Genomic DNA, 26,098 nt, shown 5'->3' with positions numbered 1-26,098 from the left:
GTTGCTAATGAGACAAGAAGAAAGCCAGAAGAGTGTGGAAGCTAAGAGACATCGAAATTTTTTTCCCAAAAGAGAAAATAATCAGCTATGCTAAATGCTACCGGGAAATTAAGTAAGACAAGAGCATAATCATAAACATTGGATTTGGCACAAGTGATTTCAGTGAAATGGTAGAGAGAAGAAAGCCATATTTGAGTGGTTTGAAACTGCATAGAAAGGGTGACAGCATATAGACTACTTTTCTAAAGAACTTAGCCAGGAAGGGTGGCAGAGAAAGGAATTAGTAAATTGAGGGTGGGGAAGATATGGGGTGAGTTTTTTTTCCTTCAAGAAGAGGAATACTTGAGGGGATGGATACCCCATTTTCCATGATGTGATTATTTCATCTTTCATGCCTGTATCAAAACATCTCATGTACCCCATTAATATGTACACCTATTATGTACCCACAAATATTAAAAATTTTTAAATTAAATAAATAAAGTTTTATTAAGTTCTACAATAAAAAAGAGGAATACTACAGCATATTCTTATACTGATGAGAATAATTCAGTAGAAAAAGACACTCATAATGTAAAAGATAAAGGGAAGGACTGAAATGTTTAGAAGATAAGAGGAAATAGAATCGCAAGCAAAGCTGGAGGGATTGGTCTTCAGTAGAATTGACTCTTCTTACATCTTTTCTGTAAAGAAGAAAAAGATGCAGATTATGGATAGACTCAGCAGTGAGAGTTCTCCAATGACTATAATTTTTCTCAGTGATTCATGAGATGGGGTCTTCTGCTGAGAACTGGGTAAGAAAGAGGGGGAAGAGTAATGAGAGCTCTAAGGACCAAGCAGACAAAGTAGTCATCTCATAGAATGGAAAAGTAAACTTAGTAGTGTAACAAGGATAACAATTTTTGATATATATTAATGTGCTTTTCTCTTTTGCATCTCTATAGACGTGACCTTCTTTCTACTCAGAGGCATTCATCTACAGGGGACTTAGAGAGCAGGTGAAGGGGGCATAGGATGGTGATTAGTACACATAGCACAGGAATAGAAAAATGCAATTAACACCAGCCGAATCCCTAGCAATTCCATCTATTTTAAAAACAGGGTTTGTCAAGAGAAAAAATATTTTTTAAATTTCTTAAACTTCCAGTAATGTATTAAAAGCCAGTCCGGCTGGCTTAACCGTCAATTTTACTATTAGTCTGAAGAACTCAAGATAGGACACAAGAAAAGTCCCTGCCACATAGGAAGGGGAAAAAAGCCACCTAATTCAGCCGTAGAATAACGGGGACAGGAGAAGAGCAAGAGGTACAGCAACCTCTTTGCCTTTCCTCCTTCTCAGCATTCAGCTTCAGTACCGAGGGTGTAGAAACATTCTGATAGGTACAGAGCCGCCCAAGAACATTAGAGCTAGCCGACTGCTTCTCCAGGCAGAGCCTAGAAGAGATATAAACCATTAGCAGAAGTCCCTCACTGGGACAGAACCCAATGTCCAATGGGCACAGAACCAATAGCACCCATATGCCACTGGCTTCTTAAAGCTTGTGTGGAGTATGAGTGGACATAAAGGTGATGAGAGGGCTAGTTAACCAAAAGAGATCCGGCACCAGAAAAAAAAGGGACACATAAGTACAAGATCTATGCAACCAGGACAAACAGCTAAGACTGCAAATTTCAGAAACAGCTGCACACACAAGACCTCCAAAAGGCCACAGGGGAGCGGACATACCTCAGTGGGTACCAATGCCAAGGGCCAACTATCAGTAAAGATAGGGGACCCCTCCTCCTCCGCAAACACAGCAGCTGACCAGTTTATTAAGCATATCTGAGGCCTCCTTACCCACCATCATAAAATTAAGTTAGCTGCCCCATATGTCTAGATATCATCCATGAAGAGGAGCTAGAGAAAGTGAAGAGATCTAGAAGACAAAACACCCAAAAGTTACCTAAAGCAATGGGATCTAAAATTAAGACTCCATTCATTACATTTATATCTAAGTTTCTCCTACCCTACTGCTTCAGCACCACCACCACCAGCAGCTTTTGCTCTGTTACAATGTGTAAAATTTTGTCCCAAAAACAGGAGGAAAAAAAATCAGTGAATTTCTAGATTTTGGTTGAGCCTATGTGAAGTTTGAGACCAAAAATTTAGCCATCAGTCAGCCTCCGTGTGTGAATTTTTTCCCCAAACAGCGTTCATGAAAAGGCGATGGTTGGGTTCAATCAGGGTTGAGCTTTTGCCAGTCAAATGTGAAGAAGGAAAAGAGGAGCAAGGAGGTTTAGGGCATTAGCAAGGGAGTAATAATAATGATGGACCATGACATTACGCTGAACAAGAAAGGAAATGAAGACGGGAGGAAACTGATGGATGGAATACACAGGGTCCCTGGACTGGAGGTCTCTATGACATTGAAGAATTGTTGCAGTGGGTGTACTAGAGCAATTGAGCTGGAAGAATAAGACATGGGCATCACAGCATGGGATACTTAAAGATTTCAAAGGTGGTGGTGTCACTCACAATGTTCTAATTATGTACAATTTACCAAGTACATTCACATACTTAATAGTATTTATTTAACTCTTCCTGACTACAGGGAAAAAGAAATTTAATAAAGTGAATTTTTAATAACAATTCAGGAAATTATTTAAAATTATTTAAAATATTTAAGAAGAAATTCTAAGTTGAAGCACACTAGGAAATTTAGAAACAACCATGTAAATAACAACACTTAAGTACTAATTACAAATCGACCTTTTCTTTTCATTAATACAGGTGTCCTAAGAAACTAAACCAAATTTTTATCAAATTACTTAGTTGGTTAATTATTGGGTTAGCTAGTTGAATTTATTCTACTACGTTACTTACATTTTAAAAAAATAACACTGCTTTTGTTTTTTCTATATTATCAATTTAGACATCTCCCCTGTAACTAAACCAAATTAGAAAAAAATTAGTCTAAATATCTAGATATAGAGATAACCAAATTGAATCATTACAAATTCCTTTCAATTAAACACAGTGATTAAACATTCTAATTTTTTCCCATCTGACTAGCAGAAGTCAATTCATCACAGAAATAGAGATTAAGCCACTCCTTCGGTTTGGCTTTAGTTTTCTCCACATCTCCACAGAATGCAAACATTTCGTATTCTTAAAAAGGAAGTATTCTGATAACATTTCTATATTTAAAATTTGAGATGTTCAGAAGCTGATCAACAGAATAATTCTATATATCCATCACTAAAAGTTAAAAAAAAACCCTCCATTTGGTTTAGTTAAAATCAACCCTTAATATTTACAAAATTAGTAGAAGAAATGTGTTCATATAATTCATGTTTAAAAATAATGTTTTAGTTTGAAATATGTAGTAAACTGATTAAAGTACCATCTTTTTAACCAATATTGTCTAAATCAAGGACCACAACGTTGAGTACAAAAGCCTGATCTGGCCTTCCCAATTATGCTAAGCCAGCATAGTACTCCAAAATTATTTGAATTTGAATACCTTTAGGCAGGGCAAGCCCCTCTGAAGTTCCCACAGTATTCGCTTTATGTTTTGAACCCAGTAGCTTTGTTCTCAGCCCATAAATGGTCTTTAATTTGTGACCTTTGGCCTATAGTACTCTGTTGTTTTGTATAGCATCTGTTTAAATTATATTGTTCTTATTTTCATTTGTAAAATATTAAGCAATTTTGGGTTTTTTTAATTTAAGCGGCCCTTTTTTATTTTAAAAGTGTCCAAAACACTTAATCTTTTCTAGCAACTGTTTGACCTGAGTTCCTTAAATAAACATGTTATTGCCAAAGGTTTGAGAAGACAAGATAATTCTCGAGTGTCTTCCAGTTTCAACCATAAAGAAGTTAACCCTTTTTTGCTAAGATTTGAAAAATATGTATATATATTATTTTCTTACATTCAAATTCCTTGAGGCATCATTCAAACTTCACATGAGGTTCAGAGTGTAGTAATTAGCAGTAGGCTGCTTACATTTGCCAATATATTTGTACAAACATATGTTGGCACTCAGTTCCATATCAGCTACACATCAAAGAAGGGCGCTGAGGAGGAAGTATTCCACCTCAGGGCTGGATTAGTGTCTCTGCCTGAAATAGGCCTCATTTAAGAGTATAGTTTGGGGGAAATTAAAGAACCTTCATGGTCTGGGTATTGGAGCGAATCCACTAACAAAAAGCTGTACTGAATATTTCTGCCATTTTTTTTCCAGCCTTGCTACTATAATCCTGGGGAAAGTTGTAATCTCTTTTATCTTCTGTTTGCCAGTCCGCAAAAGGGAAATCATATACTTTCTCAACCGTGTCACAGAAGATGGGCATGTCAGGAATCCTCATGCTAGGAAAGTTGGTGCTTCTTTCTGCTAACATCCTTTTTGAATAAAAGTATGCACAAGCCTTCATGTTGCCACGACCCACACCCACCACACCTCTCTGTGAAGATTAAAGCCCAGAGTCCCCAGTACAGTCAAAACAAGGACCAAAGACTAGGGAAAATCTCCCTAATTTTCTCAAGAAAGGCTACCTTTCTTTTTATTACTGTGAATGTCAATAGAATTACTACCTATGTGAGCCCATATATTTTACAAGAACACCAAAGAATTATAAAAATATTAGAGCTGACAATGTACAAAGTTCTGTTCATATTTCCCTCATACAATCTTCTACAGCAAACTTTTAAGGTAGTTATGATGATCCCCATTTTGCACATGAGGCAACGGGATGAAACACTAAGTCACTTACTCAAGCTCACACTACCAGTAAGTCACAAAACCAAAATGTTAACTGAACTCTGACTCCCAAACTAGGTCATTTAACTCTTCTACCATAGCTGAGTATTGAGGTAAAATCAGAAACTGATCGAGGAGGGACTGTCCATCAGAAACGTGCTAGAGTCAGATCATACCAGCTTGGAAAAGTCAACTGGTAAATGTTCAAAAATGCTGTAATAGTCATTATTAAAAATTGCATTATATAAATATATAATTGAATAAATCATATTAAGAACAAAGGTAGGAAATAATCAAAAATATTTTCATGGCAAATGGGACAACACAATTTCAAAAAGACCTTTGACGACAGGCTAACTCACACTCCCAAAAGATGCACTGCTCATCCAGAAACACTGGGAATGCAAATTTTAAAAGCCTACCATTTTAGTTATTTATTTCTGCTTAACAAATTACCCCAAAACTTAGTGAATTAAACTATAATCATTTTGTTATATCTCACATTTTGTTGAGTTAACAATTGCAACAGGAGTAGGCTGGACAATTTGTCTGCTCTGCGTGTTGTCAACTGAGGTGGCAGATGGGCTGGTCTGGATCATCCAAGATGGCTTCACCCATACATCTGGTGCCTTTGCAGATATGGCTAGAAGGCTAAGCTCAGCTGGGACTGTTGGCTGGAGCACTAACACATGCCTCTCCACAGCTGTCTCAAGGTAGTTGAAATTACACGTGTATCAAGGCTCCCAGAGAAAGTATTCTAAGAGGCAATAAGTGGAAGATCTTAAGGTGTAGCCCCCAAAACTGGTACAATTTCACTTCTGCCATATTGTAGCCACAGAGCCTGCCAAGATTTAAGGATAGGAACATAGACCCCACCATGTGATGAAAGAGTCAAATAATTGTTACCACCTTCAATCTATCACCAAACAAATTGTTATTGTTTCTTTTATCTACATAATATTTATGTTTTTTAAGATATTATTACTTAGAGATATGTGCTGAAATATTTATAGATGAAATAATATGATGTTTGGGATATAAGGGTAAGTGGATCCGGATATACAAGAAATAAGATTAACAAAAAGGTGATATTGTTGAAGCTGGATGACAGCTAAATTCCCCTATTTGTAAGTGTTTGCACTTCTCTATATTAAAAAAAAAATTCTTTAATATTTTTTAAAACTTACTCTGTTTTCTGTTTTGTTTTAATTTCAGCTTTTATTTTAGATAAGAGGGTAACTTGTATCTAAATCCTCGCAGGATTGTTACATGGGTATATTGTACCAGGTAGTGAACATAGTATTCAATAGGTAGTTTTGTTTTTGTTTTTTAAACAGGGTCTCACTGTGTCACCCAGGCTGGAGTATAGTGGCACAATCTTGGCTCACTGCACCCTTGATGGCTTGAGGATGGGCTCAAGCCATCCTCCCACCTCAGCCACTTAATTAGCTGGAACCATAGACATGTGCCACCATGCCTGGCTAATTCTCGTATTTTATGTAGAGACAGAGTTTCACGATGTTGCCCAAGCTGATTTCGAATGCTTAGACTCAAGTGACCTTCCCACCTTTGCCTCCCAAAGTGCTGGTATTACAGGCATAAGCCACCATGCCCAGCCTCCAATATGTAGTTTTTCAACACACATCTCCCTCCCTCCTCACTTTAGTAGTCCACAGTGTCTATTGTTCCTATGTTTATGTCCCTGTGTGCTCAATATTTAGCTCTCACTTATAAGTGAGAATATGCAGTATTCGGTTTTCTATTCCCACATTAATTTCTTTCGATTATGACCTCCAAGCTTTATCCATGTTGCTGCAAAGAACATGATGTTATTCTTTTTAATGCTGCAGAGTATTCCATGGTGTATATGTGTATATCACATTTTCTTTATCCAGTCCACCAATGATGGGCACCCAGGTTGATTCCATGTCTTTGCTATTGTGAATAGTGTGGCAATGAACATATGAATGCTTGTGTCTTTTGGTTATAATGATCTATTTATTTTCCTTTGGGTACTGGATCAAATGGTAGCTCTGTTTTAAGTTCTTTGAGAAATCTCCAAACTGCTTTCCACAGTGGCTGAACTAATTTATATTCCCACCAACAGTGTATAAAAGCCTTTTCTCTGCAGCCTCGCCAGCATCTATTGTTTTTGACTTTTTAGTAATAGCCATTCTGACTAGTGTGAGATGGTATCACATTGTGGTTTCGATTTGCATTTCTCTGATTAGTGATGTTGAGTATTTTTTCATGCTTGTTGGCTGCTTGTATGTCTTCTTTTAAGAAGTGTCTGTTCATGTCCTTTGCCCATTTTTTAATGGGTTGCTTTTTGCTTGCTAATTTAAGTTCTTGCAGTCTCTGGATAGTAGACCTTTGTCAGATGCATAGTTTATGAATATTTTCTCCCATTATCTAAGTTGTCTATTTACTCTATTGATGATTTCTTTTACTGTGCAAGTTTTTCAGTTTAATTAGGTCTCACTTGTCAAAAAAATAAGATTTAAAAAACCTATTTCAATGCCAACTAAACAAAAAGCATTAACATAATCGCATACACAAACACAAGGGAAGATTTAGAGAGAATGTAAAAACTAAGCTGTTTAAAAACTGATCTGAACAGGACTCTTTGAAGAAATGGCTGACTCTAGGACTTGGGTAGGAAATATATGAAATGAGCCAGGAGCATCTTTTAGTGCAAGAAAAAAGATAAGTGCTCAAAAAAAAAGGAAAACACAGTGGCAGGGGCAACTTTCAGGAGCCAAATGAAAGAGCTCCCAGTAGCCAAAGCTAGCATAATTTGTGCAATAAAATAAATAAAGTAGTATTAGATTATAACCCAAAGTGGAAAATCAATATCTGAGTCTGTACTGATATAAATAAATAAATGATTGAATAAGTAAATGGGGGAGAATAAACAAATCTCCCCTGCAGAAAAATTCTAATAATTTATGTAGATACTCCACCCTCCAGGAGGTGGAGAATAACTTCCCACTTCTTAAATGTGGGCTGTTTAAAATTACTTCCTTCCAAATAATACACCTCAGAAAGGAGGAAAAATGAGTTAGTGGAGTAAACTGACAAACACTACCTCAATTAGGTGATCAAGGTTAAACTCAACAGTGATAAGTCATGTTGATAGTACATATTCTTGATATAATGTGATGATAATGCACTTTACCTCTGTAGTCATCATATCCAAAACACATAACCCCCATCTAATCATAAGAAAAACATCGGTGTCTTATTTCATTTATGCTCCTATAACAGAATATCACAGACTGGGTAATTATAAAGAACAGAAATTTATTTTCTCAGAGTTCTGGAGGTGGGAAGTCCAAGATCAAGGTGCCAGCAGCTGTCAAGTGCCTTCTTAATACATCATCACATGGTGGAAGCCAGAAGGGCAGGGGAAAGCAAGAGAGAATGATGCCACCTCACATCCCCTTGTTATAACAGCATTAATCCATTCATGAGAATAGAGCCTTTGTGACATAAACACCTCCCTCCCCTTCGTGACATAAACACCTGCCACCTTCCAACGATGTTGCATTGGGGATTAAGTTTCCAACACATGAATTTCTGGAGGACACATTCAAGCCATAACAATCAGACAAACCCTAGTAGGGGAAAATTGTACAAAACACCTAACTGACACTCCTCAAAATTGTCAAGGTCATCATAAACAAGGAAAGTCTGAAAAACTGTCATAGCCAAGGAAAGTCAAAGGAGACAAGACAACTAGACCCAGTGGGGTATCCTCAATGGGATCCTGGAAACAAAACAATTAGTAATGTCTTAGTCCATTTGGGCCGCTATAACAATATAGACTGGTTAATTTATAAACAACAAAAATTTATCTCTCACAGTTCTGGAGGCTGGGAAGTCTAAGATCAAGATGCCAGCAGATTCAGTGTCACGTGAGGGCCTATCTTGTAAATGGTACCTTATATATGTCCTCATATGATAGAAGAAGTGAACAAGGTCTCTTAGGCCTCCTTTATAAAGGCACTAATGTCATTGACAAGGAGCTCTGCTCTCATGACCTAGTCGCCTCCCAAATGTCCCACATCTTAATACTAATACACTGGGAGTTAGATTTTAACACACGAATTTTAGTGGAACACCAGCAGTCAGACCATATCAGGTAAAAACGAAGAAAATCTGAATAAAGTATGAAGTTAATACTCATATATCAATACTCGTTCACTATTTGTAATAAATATACCATACTAATATAAGATGTTAGTAATAGGGGAAATAGGGTATAGGCTATATAGGAACTCTCTGTACTATCTTTGCAGTTTTTCTGTAAATCTAAACCTCTCCTAAAATTAAAAGTTCATTTTAAAAGTTATAAGCTGGTTCTGCAGCCTTGATGGAAATCTGACAAGTTCTACAGCTTTGAAGTAATTTCTCTAGTTCACACAGAAGAGACTTGGAAGAAGCAACAGAAACCTGCATTTCAGCCCACCTGAGACTACTGCCAAATCTAGTTATTAGATGAAAGAAGATAGCATCGAGAGAGACTCATCCCTGATTGAAAGAGCCAGCGTCTTTCCATACCTAATATACTTCCTTTTGTGGATGCATTTCTGCCCTACAGCACAAAGCAGTAAAAAAACCAAGATCTAATGTGCCTGAAAGACCGCAGAGGTGCTGTGGATAGGCTCAGTTACAAACCAACGAACATTCAGGAGACAGAAAGAAATTCATCCATTTTCCAAAAATGTTAAAAGGGAACGTAGTTTGGTGAAACTCAGAGAATCTGGATCAACATATTTCTTGGCATCCTGGAAAGAAATAAATCCTTTGCAAGTATAAATATTCATTATAAAGAGATCTTAACAATGCCACAAATCTTCTTAAGTAAGTCCACACTGTGGTTTGCTCAGTTCTAGGAGAAAACGTCTTGACCTTACAGCAGTCTTCAGACTCAGAACATTTAAAATGTCATTACCACAAGGTCAGCCCTTATTCTCATCCTTGCAATTGTGAAAAGGAAAGGCACTGGAAAACAAGGGCATTCTCACTTCTCAGGGTACCTTTAATAAGTATCTGTAGGCATCACTGCTGACCATCCTGTCATGGCATGTGGTTAAAATAAACCTGCCTCTGTTGCTGCAATTATTTTTGGCTACCGTTGAGGGGAGTTCCAACAGCAACTACAGTCATTCCTTCAGATGTCCAGGAGGAGTCAATATTTAAATCTAGAACCAGGCTCATATCTCAAGGACCACACCTCTCGAGGATGCTGTAACCACTCATACATCCTATTTGTGTGTGACAGTCACGGTGTCCCCTTGAGACCACTGCTCCAAATAACAATCATCTGCTGCAGAGGGAAGTTGGGACTCACCCACCGGCCTTTGGTACTGGGGTTTATACACCCACTAGAATTGGAGCTCACAAATTTCTCAGATTCTACAGCATCATACAACCCATCCTTAAACCCTTGTAATTTCTCCTAGTTTGATAAATTCCCTTAGGTAGACTAAACAGAAAACCTAATTTACATCTAGTATGTGAAAATTAAGTTAAATTTAAACTTCTTATAAAGTCAACCATCCATTGTTAATGTCAACGGGAAAGTGTAATAACAGATAATTCAAATGTCCTATATATATCATTACTATATAAATTTTGTGAAATAAGCATAAATTATCTTTCACTTAGACAATATTAAAATAAGTTTTTATTACCTAAGTGTACACCCAATGAATGGTGCAGAAACAGACCAGAAGAATCTTGGGGTGACTGAAAGATCATGATATCTCAGATTAAGCACCATATTTATTTTTCACTATGTGCAGAAAAGCCAAATCTTCCTTTGTGGGGACCAGCCCAGAGTAATTCTGACTCATCAAAAATGGCTAGGCAGTCACAGGATGGATAGCTTATCATCCTTATAAAATAAATAACTAAAAGACAATCACAACCATAAAATCCAAGCAAAGTTTTATTACCTAAATTCAATTTGCTGTAGTTTAATTAAGTTGCATCAGCCAGCACTGTATTTAAGGTCTGCAGGCTTTAACAACTTTAGAGACTAGTCCAGTGACCAAAGAAACTCTCATTACAAAATGGCATTTAACTGGGGGCCCTCGCGAGGCACTCAAGAATATATTGTCCCAGAAGTGACTCACTAAGACAGACATGAAATGAAATCTAAAGAAATGGTCTCTCAAAGGCATGATGCAACAGGAACAAGAATAAAACCTGGCAGACATAGGTACATAAGATTGATTGTAGATAATCTCCATTTACCACTTTGATGGAATCTTAATTATACTTTATTTACTAAAGAGGGGATAGATTGAGTATAAAACATAGAGATGTATCTAGATGACATTTTTAAAGTATTTGTTTTAGAACAACACAGAAAGTGGGCATCTACCTGCCAATTAATTAAATCAGTAAAAGAAATTTTATTAAACAAAATGAATGACTTTTCTTAAATGTGAACTTTTACATGGATGATAATTTTTAACTGATCTTGCAAAAATGTTTGTAGCATTTAAGGGAAAAAATATTTTTATAAAGCTTTCAGCCTTACCAAGAAAATTGTTGCATGCACATTTACATTTCCTGTCTATAGCAACAACTTCAGTTATTTGGGCCAGGTGGTTTTGTGTGTGGAGAATTATACCAATTATCTAACTTTTTCTCTGCTTTTGAGCATTTCATTTATATAGTTCACACTCCAAAGCAGTCATGGAATGATACAGAAAATAGAATTCATATTAATATTTTTGGACTCCTAAACTATACATGCCACTACCCAAACTCTAAAAATGGTCCCAGATTACTTTAGAAATAAGGAAAAAACTTTTATCAGTCCCTGTTATATTTCCATTGTAAGATTCTGTATTAGGTAATTCTGGCATTGCTATAACGTACCTGAGACAGGGTAATTTATAAGAAAAGAGGTTTAATTGGCTCACTGTTCTGCAGGCTGTACAGGAAACATGGTACTGGCATCTGCTTCTGGGAAGGCCCCAGGAAGCTTGCAATCATGGCAGAAGGTGAAGGGAGAGCAGACGTCTCTCATGGTGAGAGTGGAGCAAGGGTAACAGGGAGGTGCCACACACTTTTACACAACCAGATCTTGTGAGAACTCACTCACCACAGCAAGGACAACACCAAGCCATGAGGGATCCTCCTCCATGACCCAAACACCTCCCACCAGACCCCACCTCCAATGCTTCAACACGAGATTTGGGCAGGGACAAATATTCAAACTGTATCAGGTACCTAATGTTTACAACTATGCTTAAAGTATTTAAAATAATTTATCTAATTCTTGGCTTCCATTTTTATAATTTTATAAGTGCATACAAAGTTCGCATTTTAAATATATCCAATGATACTATTTTTCAGTGCAAAATTTACATACTTCGGTAATTTTGCATAGCTTATATGTTTCATGACTGTCCCTTATTGGTGTTGGAAGCTAGAAGAAATGAAGCGATAATTTTATTTTCAAAAAGTGATAACTTTTAGCAAGGCTTGTCTTATCCTTAGGTATTAAGACTCTAGAATCTATGTTCTGATATGCCAAAAATATTCTTGAAATCGTTTTTTCCATAAGGAACTAAAATAGGAAACTCTTTAATGTATAGGACGAATATCTAATGCATGCATGCGCGGTTTAAAACCTAGATGATAGGTTGATAGGTGCAGCAAACCACATGGCACATGTATACCTATGTAACAAACTTGCATGTTCGGCACATGTATCCCAGAACTTAAAGTAAAATTAAAAGAAAAATAAAGAAACTCCTTAATACCAGTAATGTGGATATGACATCACTGGGGATAGAAAACAAGAGAGGATGGAAAAGCGTAGGAAGAAACAGAAAAAGGCTGGGATGAGAAAGAAAAGTGGATCTCAAAACAAATTGTCCTGCTTCACATTTCTTTACAGGTCTGGGCCTGTCCTTAAACAAGTGTTCAGATAATAATGCTGAGCAATGCAAGTTCTTATTTTGCCATCTCCACTCTACATTCTGAAGTCATTTAATTCTTCCTTATTTTTACAACACACCATTCTTCATTTTCCCATCCCATAACCCTCTGCCACTTGAGTCTCAGATCTGCCTATGAACAAAAATATAGACCATACGACACTTGAAAAAGGTTTCTCCCAAGCCTTAACCTGCCTTCAACCCATGACATTTACTGGCCTTTAGAAAGTGGTGGTATCATGTGATCATAACTGACAGTAAATAATCTGAGAACCACACCAAAGATCTGAATCATGGGAATTGTGCACTTTTGGTTTTAGACTTCAATCAAAAGCCATCAACAATTTTCAATTAAAAAATTGCATCTAAGGTTGTCAACATATGTGCCAAGTTTTAATTGAGGGTAATTGGGAATGGTTAGGCTATAAAACGATTGAATAGCTACTTGGTAAATGGAAACACTGACAGATTTTTAGCTCATAAAACTCTCCCTCAGATCAAGACAGCTGAGTTGAAGAAATAATCACCAGAAGGCCCAAGCAGGTAGACTGTGGTACCTTCTTCTTCAGTGCTTCCCCCATCACACAAAGATGCTGCACAAGAAAGGTTGTTCTGAAGCATTTGCAGGCTGAAGTCAGCCAGATGCAGGCTGGAAGGGAAGGAACAGGAACCTGTACAAAGAAGGCTGGGCACCCAGGGTCCTAGAGAGTAGTAAGAGAGGGTAGAGGGAAAGAAAAAGCCACTGTCTCCAGCTCAGATGACCTGGGTTTCAGGTATGGTTGACTACTAGTTATCTATGGATCCTTGGACAAAATGTTAGTTGGATTGTACTACTGAACCCCCAAACTATTCATTTCCCCCTTGGAAGCTGTATGCTCCCAGCCTAATGAGGTGATTTTTTTTTTAATGTGCCTCACCCGTGTACTGAGGTTATAACAAAACTCCGTGTATAAAAATTTTTTCCTAGCCTACACACACTCATTTATAAAACTCTGGTTCAGATAACTGGATGTCTAGCCTTTCAATTACTTTGGGAGAAGTTTTCATGAATAAAGACTATAAAACTTACATTGCAAAATTTCACTTCACAGATGAAATCTATCACAACAAATCTATCCTCTTGAAAAGCTTCCAGCAAAGGTCACTAATAGACCATTAGCCTTTTCTAAATTGTGGAGTGATTAGAATCGTATTTTTAAAATAATCCAAACGTGATTGTTGAGAAACACCTTTGTTTCTTCTTAGCCCTTAGCACTAATTTTCCCACGTAATTTGTTATTTTAGAAACCTAAGAGACTGTATTTAAACAGTTGTATGACAATTTTTAAAAATTGCTTAATTAAGTGAGTAGGATATTTTTTCCTTGGGAAAAACCCTCAGTCCATATCTAGATCTTGTTTTAAACCTTGGTATTTTAAGGATTCTTTCAAGGCGTTTGAAGTATTCTTAATAGTTATTCGATTACTGTAAAACCCAATTTCTATTCTTCTAATCTCTATAATCAAATCTTTACTTTCATGATTTGCTATTAAGCCTGTATTTTAGGATTATAAAACTAGATATTCATCTTCTGTGACTTGTTACTATCAAGTTGAAGGTGGCAAGGATTTCACACATACAGAGTGGGTATGCTTATTGGGCACACAGTCAGAAATAAAATGTGTGCCAATGTCTTATCCTGTTTTCTGTTACTATAGCACAGTATCACAGACTGGCTAAGTTATGACAAAAAGACATTTAATTCTTACAATTCTTACAATTCTGGAAGTCCAAAGTCAAGAAGCTGCACCTGGTGAGGGCCTTCTTACTGCATCATAACATGACAGAAGGCATCACAGGACAAAAAGGCAAGAGCACACCAGCTCAGGTCTCTCTTTCTCTTCTTATAAAGCCACCAGTGACATGATGGAGGCCCTATCCTCATGCCCTTATCTAATTCTAATTATCTCCCAAAGGCCCTACCTCCAAATACCATCAACATATATATTTGGGGATTAAGTATTCAACACCTAAAATTTGGAAGACACATTCAAACCGAAGCACAAGGTTTCTATATTATTACTGGGAAAACACTTATGAAGAGATAAACACATGGCAGATAACCTATTCAATACATAGGGAAAATGTACACCCTTAAGCATGCAGATGCATTGAGCAATAAAATGTATGGTACATACTATCTAAGAATTATGGGTCGATCTAATTCTATCCAACATCAGTAGGATCTATCTTGAATACTATTATGAGAGTAGGAGACACAGCACAAAGGGAAGCTTAAACAATAAAATACAGATTCAGAGGATAAAAATAATAATAACAGTTGCACAATATGATTACACTTAATGCATTGAACTGTACATGTAAAATGGTTGGGATGGTAAATTTTATGTTATATACGTTTGACCATAATAAAATAAAAATTAATAATAGTAGTAATAATAATAATGACAAATATATATGTGCTTCATGTGCCAGGTGCTTTATGTGCATTATCGTTTAGTCTTCAAAGTAGCTCTTTGAGGAAGTATTAATATTACCCTCTTCTAAAGGATTTGGAAATCTAAGGACCACAAAAATAAAGCAACTTTTCCAAGAGTTAATAAAGTAACTTCTTCAATAGATTCTTACAGAACTAGTAAATTATAAAGGTCTATGTATTAGTCTGTTTTCATATTACTATAAAGATACTACCTAAGACTGAGTAATTTATAAAGAGAAGCGGTTTGATTGACTCACAGTTCCACATGGCTGGAGAGACCTCAGGAAACTTACAATCATGCCCAAAGAAGAAGAGGAAGCAAGGTACGTCTTATACGGTGGCAGGAGACAGCAAGTGAGCACAGGGGAAAGTGCCACTTTTAAAACCATCAGATCTGGTGAGAACTCCCTCACTATGAGGAGAACAGTGTTGGGGAAACCGCCTCCATGATCCAATCACCTCCCACCATGTCCCTCCCTCAACACCTGGGGATTACAATTCAGATTATAATTCGAAATGAGATTTAGGTGAGGACATAGGCAAACCGTATCAGTCTGACTGAACCCAGATGTTCTGATTTTAGAGTCTGTGGTTGTTTAACCGTGTATAATGACTTCCACAGGTGTTCGTGAAAGTACTTATAAGGAAAAGAAGCCATGCTGAAAAGTAAAACTATCTCAAAGTTGTAGCCAAAAAGACAGTTGAGAACACCAATAATGTGGTGGGGAGAGAAAATGGTCAGTATATGATTGTTTATTTATTCATCTAGGCAATAAGTAATTAGATGTCTACTAGGTGCACTGAGGACAATACGTGAATAAGACAGACAAGGCTTTTGCATTCATGGAGCTTACATTCTAGTAGAGTAGCGAGAACAAAAGAAAGTGAACAAATTAATAAAGTATTTTTGACTTGCAGGAAGTGCTATGAGGAAGTGAAACACTGGTGGCAAGAAAGTGAGTGTCAGAGGTGGGGGCTGCATTAGCCCAGGGCAGAGTTTCCCAATCTTGGCACTGCTGACTTTTTGGGCTGGATAATTCTCTGTTGTGGGGGTTGCTGTGTGCATTGTAGGATGTTTAGCAGCATCCCCAACCCATTTACCCATTAGACCCAGTAGCAAAACCTCTCCTTCCCAGGTGCGACAAACAAAACTGTCTCCAGATATTTCCCAATGTCCTTTGAGGGACAAAATTACCACCAGTTGGGAACTACTGGCTTCAAGGGTTATGGGAGTCTTCTCTGAAGAGGTGACATCTGATCTGAGGCAAAGTGATATGAAAGGGCCAGCCATGAAGGATTTGGGGGTAGAAGCTAGGGGATGGATAAGGGCAAACACCCTAACATGGCAAAAGGCTTTGTGTATTGGCTGGGGTGGCTGAAGCCTCCTGAGCTGTGGTGAGAGTGGTAGGAGGGAGTATCAAAGAGGTAGACAACTTCAGATCATGAGAGTCCTCTAGACAATTGAGTCATTTTAAGCATTTTAGTTTATCAGGAAAAAATGGTGGCAAGGGTAATTTTTTTAACTCTAGGTCATTAAAGTCTTTCTTTTATCTTTGAAATTTTTAAAACAGGTTAGAATTTAACACAACTAACACCTCTCTGGGAGAAAACTATTGATGTCTTTATATTCTGTAGAATTAGTCATTCCTTCATTCGCTAAGCAAATATTTATTGAGTGCCCAGTACGCCCCAGACACTGTTTTAGGCATTTGGAGCAAGACTGAAAAAAAGAAAGATCCTACCCTCTTGGAGCTTATGTCGAATTAGAAGAGATAGATAAATATAAAACATAATGAAAATTATTTGTATAATATGGTAGAAGACAACTGCTATGCACCAAAAATTATAAAGCAGGATGAAAAGGACAGAAATTATGGTGGAGATACATAATACAATATGTGACAATAAGTCTAGAAGAAGAAAAATATAATCAATACACCATGTTCTTAGGCAGTTAAACATTTCTAGAACTTTCCATTTATTCTTTTATTTTCATTCTATTTAGTCCACAATCAAATACTTTGTCTTATTTTCTCATAAATGGATCTTGTGAACTGACTGGAAGATACCTGAGAAAGTAAACAAGACCCAATTGTGTGCAGGTGGTGAAGCTTAGGGCACCCCAGAAGGAGTGTCAAGTTGTCTGAAAATCAACAATGAATAGGTGACTCCCTTTAAGTCATTATTTTGGTGGGAACCCAAATGTATGACTGTATGACCATTGGTGTCAATTCATGTCAGGATTAATGAGAAGCATCCAAAAATCTACCAACAAATCACTCATAAGAGTAATCTGTAAATATATGTATTTCATCTCAGGCCAAGCATAATTTTCTCTAATGTTTTATTGCTTTTAAGTAAATTGAGTTAACACTTTTAAAACTTCGCAATTGTGGGTGTAATCATAATAAATAAATACTTCACCTGGGCTCAGTGGCTCATACCTGGAATCTCAGCACTCTGAAGGGCCAAGGCGGGTGGATCACTTGAGGCCAGGAGTTCAAGACCAGCCTGGCCAACATGGCGAAACCCCATCTCTACTAAAAATACAAATTATCTGGGTGTAGTGGCACATGCCCATTGTCTCAGCTATTCAGGAGGCTGAGGCAGGAGACTTGCTTGAACCCGGGAGGCAGAGGTTGCAGTGAGCCAAGATCGTACCACTGTACTCCAGCCTGGGCGACAGAGCAAGACTCCATCTCAAAAATAAATAAATAAATTTAAAAATAAATACTTTGTACAACTGACTTTTATTCAATGACATTTCAAATAAGATAATTGAAACAAATTAAAATTCTTCTGTCAAGACAATATATACAGCTATTATGTACTCAAAATTTTTTTAATAATAAAATAAAAACAAATCTTTTTTTTTTTTTTTTTTTTTGAGACAGAGTCTCACTCTGTCGCCCGGGCTGGAGTGCAGTAGTGTGATCTCGGCTCACTGCAACCTCTCCCTCCCAGGTTCAAGCAATTCTCCTGTCTCAGCCTCCCGGGTATCTGGAACTACAGGCACATGCCACCACACCTGGCTAATTTTTGTATTTTTGGTAGAGATAGGGTTTCACCTTATTGGTCAGGCTGTTCTCGAACTCCTGACCTCAGGTGATCCACCCGCCTCGGCCTCCCAAAATGCTGGGATTACAGGCATGAGCCACCTCGCCCAGTCACAAATAGATTTTTTTTAAAGACTAAGATACATGTATTAGTGTCCTATGGTCACTGTAAGAAATTTCTACAGACATGGTGGCTTAACACAGTGGAAATTTATTATCTCACAGTTCTGGAAGCCAGAAGTCTGAATCTGCTTCACTGGGCCAAAATCAGCGTGTCAGCAGGGCCGTACATTCTCTGGAGCCTCCAGTGGAGAATCTGCTCCTTGCCTGTCTTCCTGCTCCAGGTGGCTGCCGGCATTCCTGTGGAGTACTGCATCATTCCAGTACCTACCTTATCTTCATATCCACCTTCCGCTCTGTGTGTCTAATTTCCCTCTGCTCTTCTCACGAAGGTATTTGTGATCGCATTCAGGGCTCATCCAGATAATCTAGGATAATCTCTCCATCTCAAAATCCTTAAGTAATCAATCACACCTGCAAAAACCCTTTTCCAAAAAGGTAACATTTACAGGTTCCAGGGACTGGGACATAAATGTCTTTTGGAAAGCCATTTTTCAGCCTACCACAAGGAACAATGTTTTCTTACATAATGGGAAATGGGGAACTAAATTCAAGCATTTGGGAAAAATCCCTGTTCTCATATAAGCATTTCAGTTCATCAGCAAACAGACAGCGAAGTGTTGATCTGAATTCCAAGTATTTCCTATCCTATTAAAATGAATTGGAAGTGTTAAGTAAAAGTAAATGACAGTATATCACATCCTTCCTGATTTTCACCCTAATTAACATGAAAAGAAGCCACTCTAGGTTTCAGATCTTTTTAATTTAAAGAAAAACATTACTACAACAAAATTATTTTATTACCAAAAGGATGTGCTTTTCATTTTAGTGGTCGTAGAATTGGATATCAATTCCAAACTGTCAATACAAACTCAAACTAAAAACTAGACTTAGGAATCTCCATTTTTTTATATTAGTATTTTATGTTTGTTGAGAAAGCTGGCTCCTAGGCCACACTCACATACTAAAAATCATATGACATGGAGTTCTGCTCCTCTTAGGATTGAAAACATCACAAGAGAACATCACTCCTACCCTTACAGCAAGGAAAAAGGCAGATAATCTACAAAAATATCACTCTTCTTAAGCCCATCAGAGCTAAAATCACAGAGTTACAAAATAAATCAGGCAAACTAAAACTAAATTCCAAAGAGCAATAAACCCTTCTGAAAATAAATGGGATAATGAACTGTTCCATCTTTGGAAGAGTAAGGAAGAATCTGCCAACGTAAAAGTGGATAAGAAGAAAACTGCAACACTTTTTTACAAAAGCCAAGTGTGTGCTAGGACAATTCAGACTGCTTGGCAGATCAAACCCGTGGGGAATCCACATGCATTCTTCAGTTGTTTTCCATGATTCTCTACTCGTTGCTCACAAGAAAGACTGGAACATGACAAGAGATCTGAGGCAGCCCTCTCTTCCCCCTTGGTGAACCATAGGGTTGAAACTGTATCTGCATTTCTGATCCTGCTCTCAAATAAAGCAAAAGCCTTTGCCTCTGAGAGAGAAGCAGAAAAGTCTCCTACCCAGGCAAAGATCCACTGCTTCTGGGAGATGGTAGACACAAAAGCTGTCTGAGTGAGAGGCTGTTAGGAGAGTATAGAAAACTGTACACCTCCACTCCCAGGCAAAGCCATCAGCTACTGAGAGAGAACTAGTAGCAAAATCCATTGGCCCATTGGGGTAGGCAGACAACAGGAAATCTATTCAACTGTACTAATAGAAGGCAGAGACCTTCTACTACTGAGGAAGAACAAAGACTGTCTCTCCTATTCAAGACCTTTGACAGATGCAAGGTAAGATATGGCTACTATGTCAGGGAAAGGCAGGAGTGGTGATAAAGCCCTCATCACAGAGGACCAAGAATATAGGGCCTAACTAAGACTGAGGCTGAGACCAGGGAACAAAGAAAATCTCCACTTTCCCTACCATAAGCTTTGTACCTAGCAATATGCAACTGAGAGAGGGGCAAGAGCATAAAGAACCCCCGTTTATGCATAGATATTTAGGGTCTGCTGAAAGCTGAGAGTGAAGCAAGAACACAGAAAAACCTTCCTGCACTTTAGGTCCCAAAGTAAGCACAAGGTAGCAGCCACCCAGAGCTAGAAGAATCTGCAGCCTGTAGTGCACAAAGGTAATGTTAGCAACAAAAAGCCCAGCTCAGCTACTAACCAGATTGGCTCAACTTCCCTACATTAACAGCCTGAAAAAAGAGGAGACCATTTCTAGGAGTTAATTCTACTTACTTCAGACTCTACTGGTCTAAAAAAAAAAAAAAAAAAAAGCTTCACAGTCAACAAAAAAATTACCAGACAAAAAAGTAATTGTTAGATGTTAGCAGAAGGAATGGAATAATGAAGACTGGAGCAGAAATAAATGTAATAGAGACTAGAAAAGCAATAAAAAAGATCAATGAAACTGAGTTGGGTTTTTTTGAAAAGATAAACAAAATCAACAAATCTTTAGCTAGACTAACCAAGAAAAAAAGAGAAAAGACTCAAATAAACAAAATCAGAAATGAAAGAAGAGACATTACAACTGACATCATGGAAATGAAGGGATCATAAGAAACTATTATGAACAATTATGTGCCAAAAAATTAGATTATCTAGAAGAAATGAATACATTTCTAGACACATGCAACTTATCAAGGCCGAATCACAAAGAAATATAAAAATCCAAACAGACCAATAACAAGAGAAGATTGAAGCTGTAATATAAAGTCTTCCATCAAAAAAAACAGCTCAGGACCTGATGGCTTCACTGCTGAATTCTATCAAACATTTAAAGACCTAATACCAATTCTCCACAAATTGTTCCAAAAAATCAGAGCAGAGGAAATACTTCCAAACTCCTTTTACAAGACCAACATTATCCTGACACCAAAGCCAGAAAAGGACATCACAAGAAAAGAAAACTACAGGCCAAGATCCTTGATAAATCTAGATGCAAAAGCTGTCACCAAAACACTAGCAAACTGAATTCAACAACACATTAAAAGAATTATTCACTACAATCAATTGGGACTAATTCCTAGGATGCAAAGATGGCTTAACACACACAAATTTATAAATGTAATATGTCACATTAATAGGATGAAGGATAAAAATCATATGATTATCTCACTAGATACAGGAAAAGCATTTGACAAAATTTAATATCTTTTTATGATTAAAAAAACTCTCAAAAAATTAGATATGGAAGAAATGTACCTCAATACAATAAAGGTCATATATGACAAGTTCATAGCTAACATCATATTCAATGGAGAAAAGTTGAAAACTGTTTCTCTAAGACCTGGAACAAGACAAAGATGCCCATTTCTACCACTTCTACTCAATATAGTACTGGAGTTCCCAGCCAGGGCAATAAGGCAGGGAAATAAAAACGGAAGAGATAAATTGTCCCTATTTTCAGACCATGTTATCTTATATATTAAAAAAAAACCTAAAGATTCTATAAAAAAGAAAAAATACTTAGAACTGATAAATTCAGTAAAGTTGCAGGATACAAAATCAAGACACAAAAATCAGTAGTGTTTCTCTACACTAACAATGAAGTTTCTGAAAAAGAAATCAGGAGAACCGTCTTATTTACAATCGCTACAAAAAAAAATGTACTTAGGAATAAATTTAACCTAAGAAGTGAAAGACCTGTCACTAAAAACTATAAAACATTAATGAAAGAAATTCAAGAAAACATAAATAAATAAAAATATCTCTCATGTTCATGAATTGGAAGGATTAATATTGTTAAAATGTCCATACTGCCCAAAGTGACCTACAGGTTCAAAGCAAACTCTATCAAAATTTTAATGTCACTTCTCACAGATGTAGAAAAAGTTTTTAAAATTCTTATGAAACCTCTCAAAAAAATTACAAATAACTAAGTCAATTATTTGCAAAAAGAAAATAGTTGGAGGCATTACACTATTAGATTTCAAACTATACTACAAATCAATAGTAACTAAAACAGCATGGTACTGGCATAAAAATAGACATAGCAGCCAATGGGACACTATACAGAATCCAGAAAAGAACACATTCATCTGTGGTCTCTTGATTTTCAACAAAGGTGCCAAGAATATCCAATTGGAACAACAAATGGTGTTGGGAAAACTGGGTGTCTATAGGGAAAAGAATGAAATTGGACCCTTATTTTACACCACATAGAAAAACTAACTCAAAATAGATTAAAGACATAAATGTAAGATCTAAAACTGTAAAACTACTAGAAAAAAAAACACAGGGGAGAAACTACACAACATTGGTCTAGGCGATTATTTTTTAGGTTTGACCCCAAAGGTTAGGCAACAAAAGCAAAGATAGACAAATGCGATTACATTAAAATAAAAAGCACATCAAAGGAAACAATTAACAGAGTGAAGAGACAACCTATGGATTGGGAGAAAATATCTGCAAGCCATACATCTAATAATGGATCAATATATAAAATATATAAGAAACTCAAACAACCCTCTAAAAAGAAAACAAATTACCCAATTAAGAAATGGGCAAAGGATCTAAATAGACATTTCTCAAAAGAAGACATACAAATGACTTCAGATATATGAAAAAATGCTCAACATCACTAATCATTAAAGAGATGCAAATTAAAACCACAATGAGATAGCACCTCACAACTGTTAGAATGGCTACTATGAAAGCAACAAAAGACAGGTGTTAGCAAGGATTTGGAGGAAAGGGAATCCTTGTACACTGTTGGTGGGAATGCAAATTAGTACAAACATGGAACATGGTATGGAGGTTCCTCAAAAAACTAAAAATAGAATTACCACATCATTTAGTAATACAATTTCTGATACCCGAAAGATTTAAAAATCAGTGTGTTGAAGAGATGCCTGCCTGTATCCCCATGTTCATTGCAGCACTATTCACAATAGCCAAATTATGGAATCAACCTAAGTGTCCATAAAGGAATAAATGGATAAAGAAAGTGTGGTATATATACAAAATGAAATACTATTCAACCTTTAAAAAGAAAGAAATTCTGTTGTTTGGAACAACATGGGTAGAATTAGAGAATATTATGCTAAGTGAAATAAGCCAAACATTGAAAGATAAATACTGCATGTTCTCACTTATATGTGAAATCTAAAACAACTGAACTCATAGAAGCAGAGGGTAGAATGGTGGTTACCAGAGGCAGGGGGTTGGGGGGAATCAGGAGATGATAGTCAAAGACACAAATCCGGAGATGATAGTCAAAGGATACAAAGTCTCAGTTAGATAAGAGGAATGAGTTTAATTTTTTTTAGATCAATAGTACCGCATGCTGAATATAGCTAATAATTAAATATTGTACCTTTCCGTATCACTAAGAGAATAAATTCCTAATGTTCTCATGACAAAAGAAGTTAAATATTTGAAGTAATAGATATGTTAATTAGCTTAGTTTAATCATTCCACATTGTATTCAAAAGTCATAAGACCATTTATATAAATATATACAACTATAATTTGTCAATATACAATTTAAAAAATAATACAATCTACTTTGCACAAAATGAAAAGAAAAACAACCAAAAAAAAAACCTTTGTCGAGATTAGACAACAGAACCAGATCCAGAGATGATTCAGCTATTAGAACGATCAGACAAGGACATTTTTGAGATCATAATTAATATGTTAAAGGATCAAGAGGAAAAAATGGGAAACATGCCTCAATAAATTAGGATTTTCAGCACAGAGATTGAAACTATAAAGAAGAGCCAAATGCAAATTATAGAAATTAAAAACACAATATCGAAGATGGAAATTCATTTGTCAGTTTTATCAGCAAACACAACAGAGTAAAGAATTAAAGATAGGTAAATAGTAACTATCCAAAGTGAAACATGAATAGAAAATACAGTTTTTGTTTTTTTTAACTCAGAAGGCTTGGGTCAATCTCAGAGAGTTTAATTGTATAAGTAGATTCCTAAAAAGAGAAGAAAAAACATGACAGGAAAAAAAGTATTTTAAAAATATACATTTCAGACCGGGCACATTGGCTCACACCTGTAATCCCAGCACTTTGGGAGGCTGAGGTGGGCCAATCTCTTGAGGTCAGGAGTTCAAGACCAGCCTGGCCAAAATGGTGAAACACCATCTGTACTAACATACAAAAATTAGCCGGGCGTGGTGGTCGGCACCTGAATCTCAGCTACTGGGGAGGCTGAGGCAGGAAAATCACTTGGGCCCAGGAGGTGGAGTTTGCAGTGAGCCGAGATTGCCCCACTAAACCCCAGCCTGGGCAACAGAGCAAGACTCCTTCTCAAAAAAAAAAGAAAAACTATATATATATAGTTTTTATATATATATATATAGTATTTTAAATGTATATATAAAATATTTTGAATGTATATATACACACATATATTTAAAATGTATATGTAAATACACACATACATTTAAAATGTATATGTAAATATATATACACACACATTTTCATATATATATTTATGTATTTATAAATGTATATATATACACACACATTTCTAAACTGACAAAAGATAACAAAAAACATAATGCATAATGCAAGATACTTGGGGAACCCAAACAGGATTAACAAAATTTAAAAAACAAATGAAGAAGAAGCATCAGAGTTAACTTGCTAAAAACTAAAAACAGAGAGAAAAATCTTGAAAGTAGCTGGAAAAAAAAACTACATACAGAAAAACAAATAAAGAATTATCACAGATTTCTTATTAGAAACTATAAGCAAACCAGAAGACAATGGAGTACCATCTTTAAAGTACAGAAAAGTGAAAAACTGTAAATTAAGAATCTATATATCCAATGAAACTATTTCTTTGAAATAAAGAATTTTTTCCAGACAAACAAAAGCAGAGAGAATTTATTGCCAAAATGCCTGTACCACAAGAAATATTAAATGAAGTTCTTCAAGCAGAAAGGATATGGTCAAACCAGATGGGAATTTGGATCTACACAAAGAAATTGAGAGAATCAAAACAGGAGAATTAGGGTAAATATTTAAAATTTTTAATTATTTAATTTTTTATAGTTATTTAAATTATTTAAAAATAACGAAAGCAAAAGCAGTAGCAATGTATTGTAGGATGTATAACCTGAGTAGAAGTAAAATTTATGACAATAGCACAAAGAATTGGAGGGAGGAAATAAAAGTGTACTATTTTAAGGTTCTTAGACTGCATATGAAGTAGAACAATACTATTTAAAGGTGCACTCTGATTGGAAAGATATGTATATAGCTAATAGTTGTGTTAAAATGAAATCATAAACATATGCAATACAAATGAAAAGAGAAAAAAAGAAACAGAACAAATAGAAGCAGAAAAGAAACAGAAAAAGAGCAAACTGTTGTATCTGTGTACAATCATGTCAATAATTGTATTAAATTCAAGTGGTCTACACACAAAAATCAGAGATTATCATACTAAAATTTGGATTTTAAGAAGCAAGACCAAAATAAAAGCAGCCTGAAAGAACCACACTTATTAAAAGTAAAAGGATGGGAAAAGCTATGCAAATACTAATCAAGAGAATACCAGAGTGATTTTATAATAAAGACAATGTAGATTTCAGTACAAGAAATATTACCAAGATAAAGAGGACCATTCAATAATGCTAAAGGAATAAAATTAATCAAGAAGACATAACAATACTAAATATGTAGGTACCTAATAATGGAACTTTAAAACACACAGGCGAAAACTGGTAGGCATGAAAGAAGAAATAGAAAAATCCACAAGTGT

The sequence above is a fragment of the Homo sapiens genome, chromosome 4 (genome assembly GCF_000001405.40).
Source record: "Homo sapiens chromosome 4, GRCh38.p14 Primary Assembly".
Taxonomy (NCBI): domain Eukaryota; kingdom Metazoa; phylum Chordata; class Mammalia; order Primates; family Hominidae; genus Homo; species Homo sapiens.
This window is presented reverse-complemented; position numbering follows the sequence as displayed.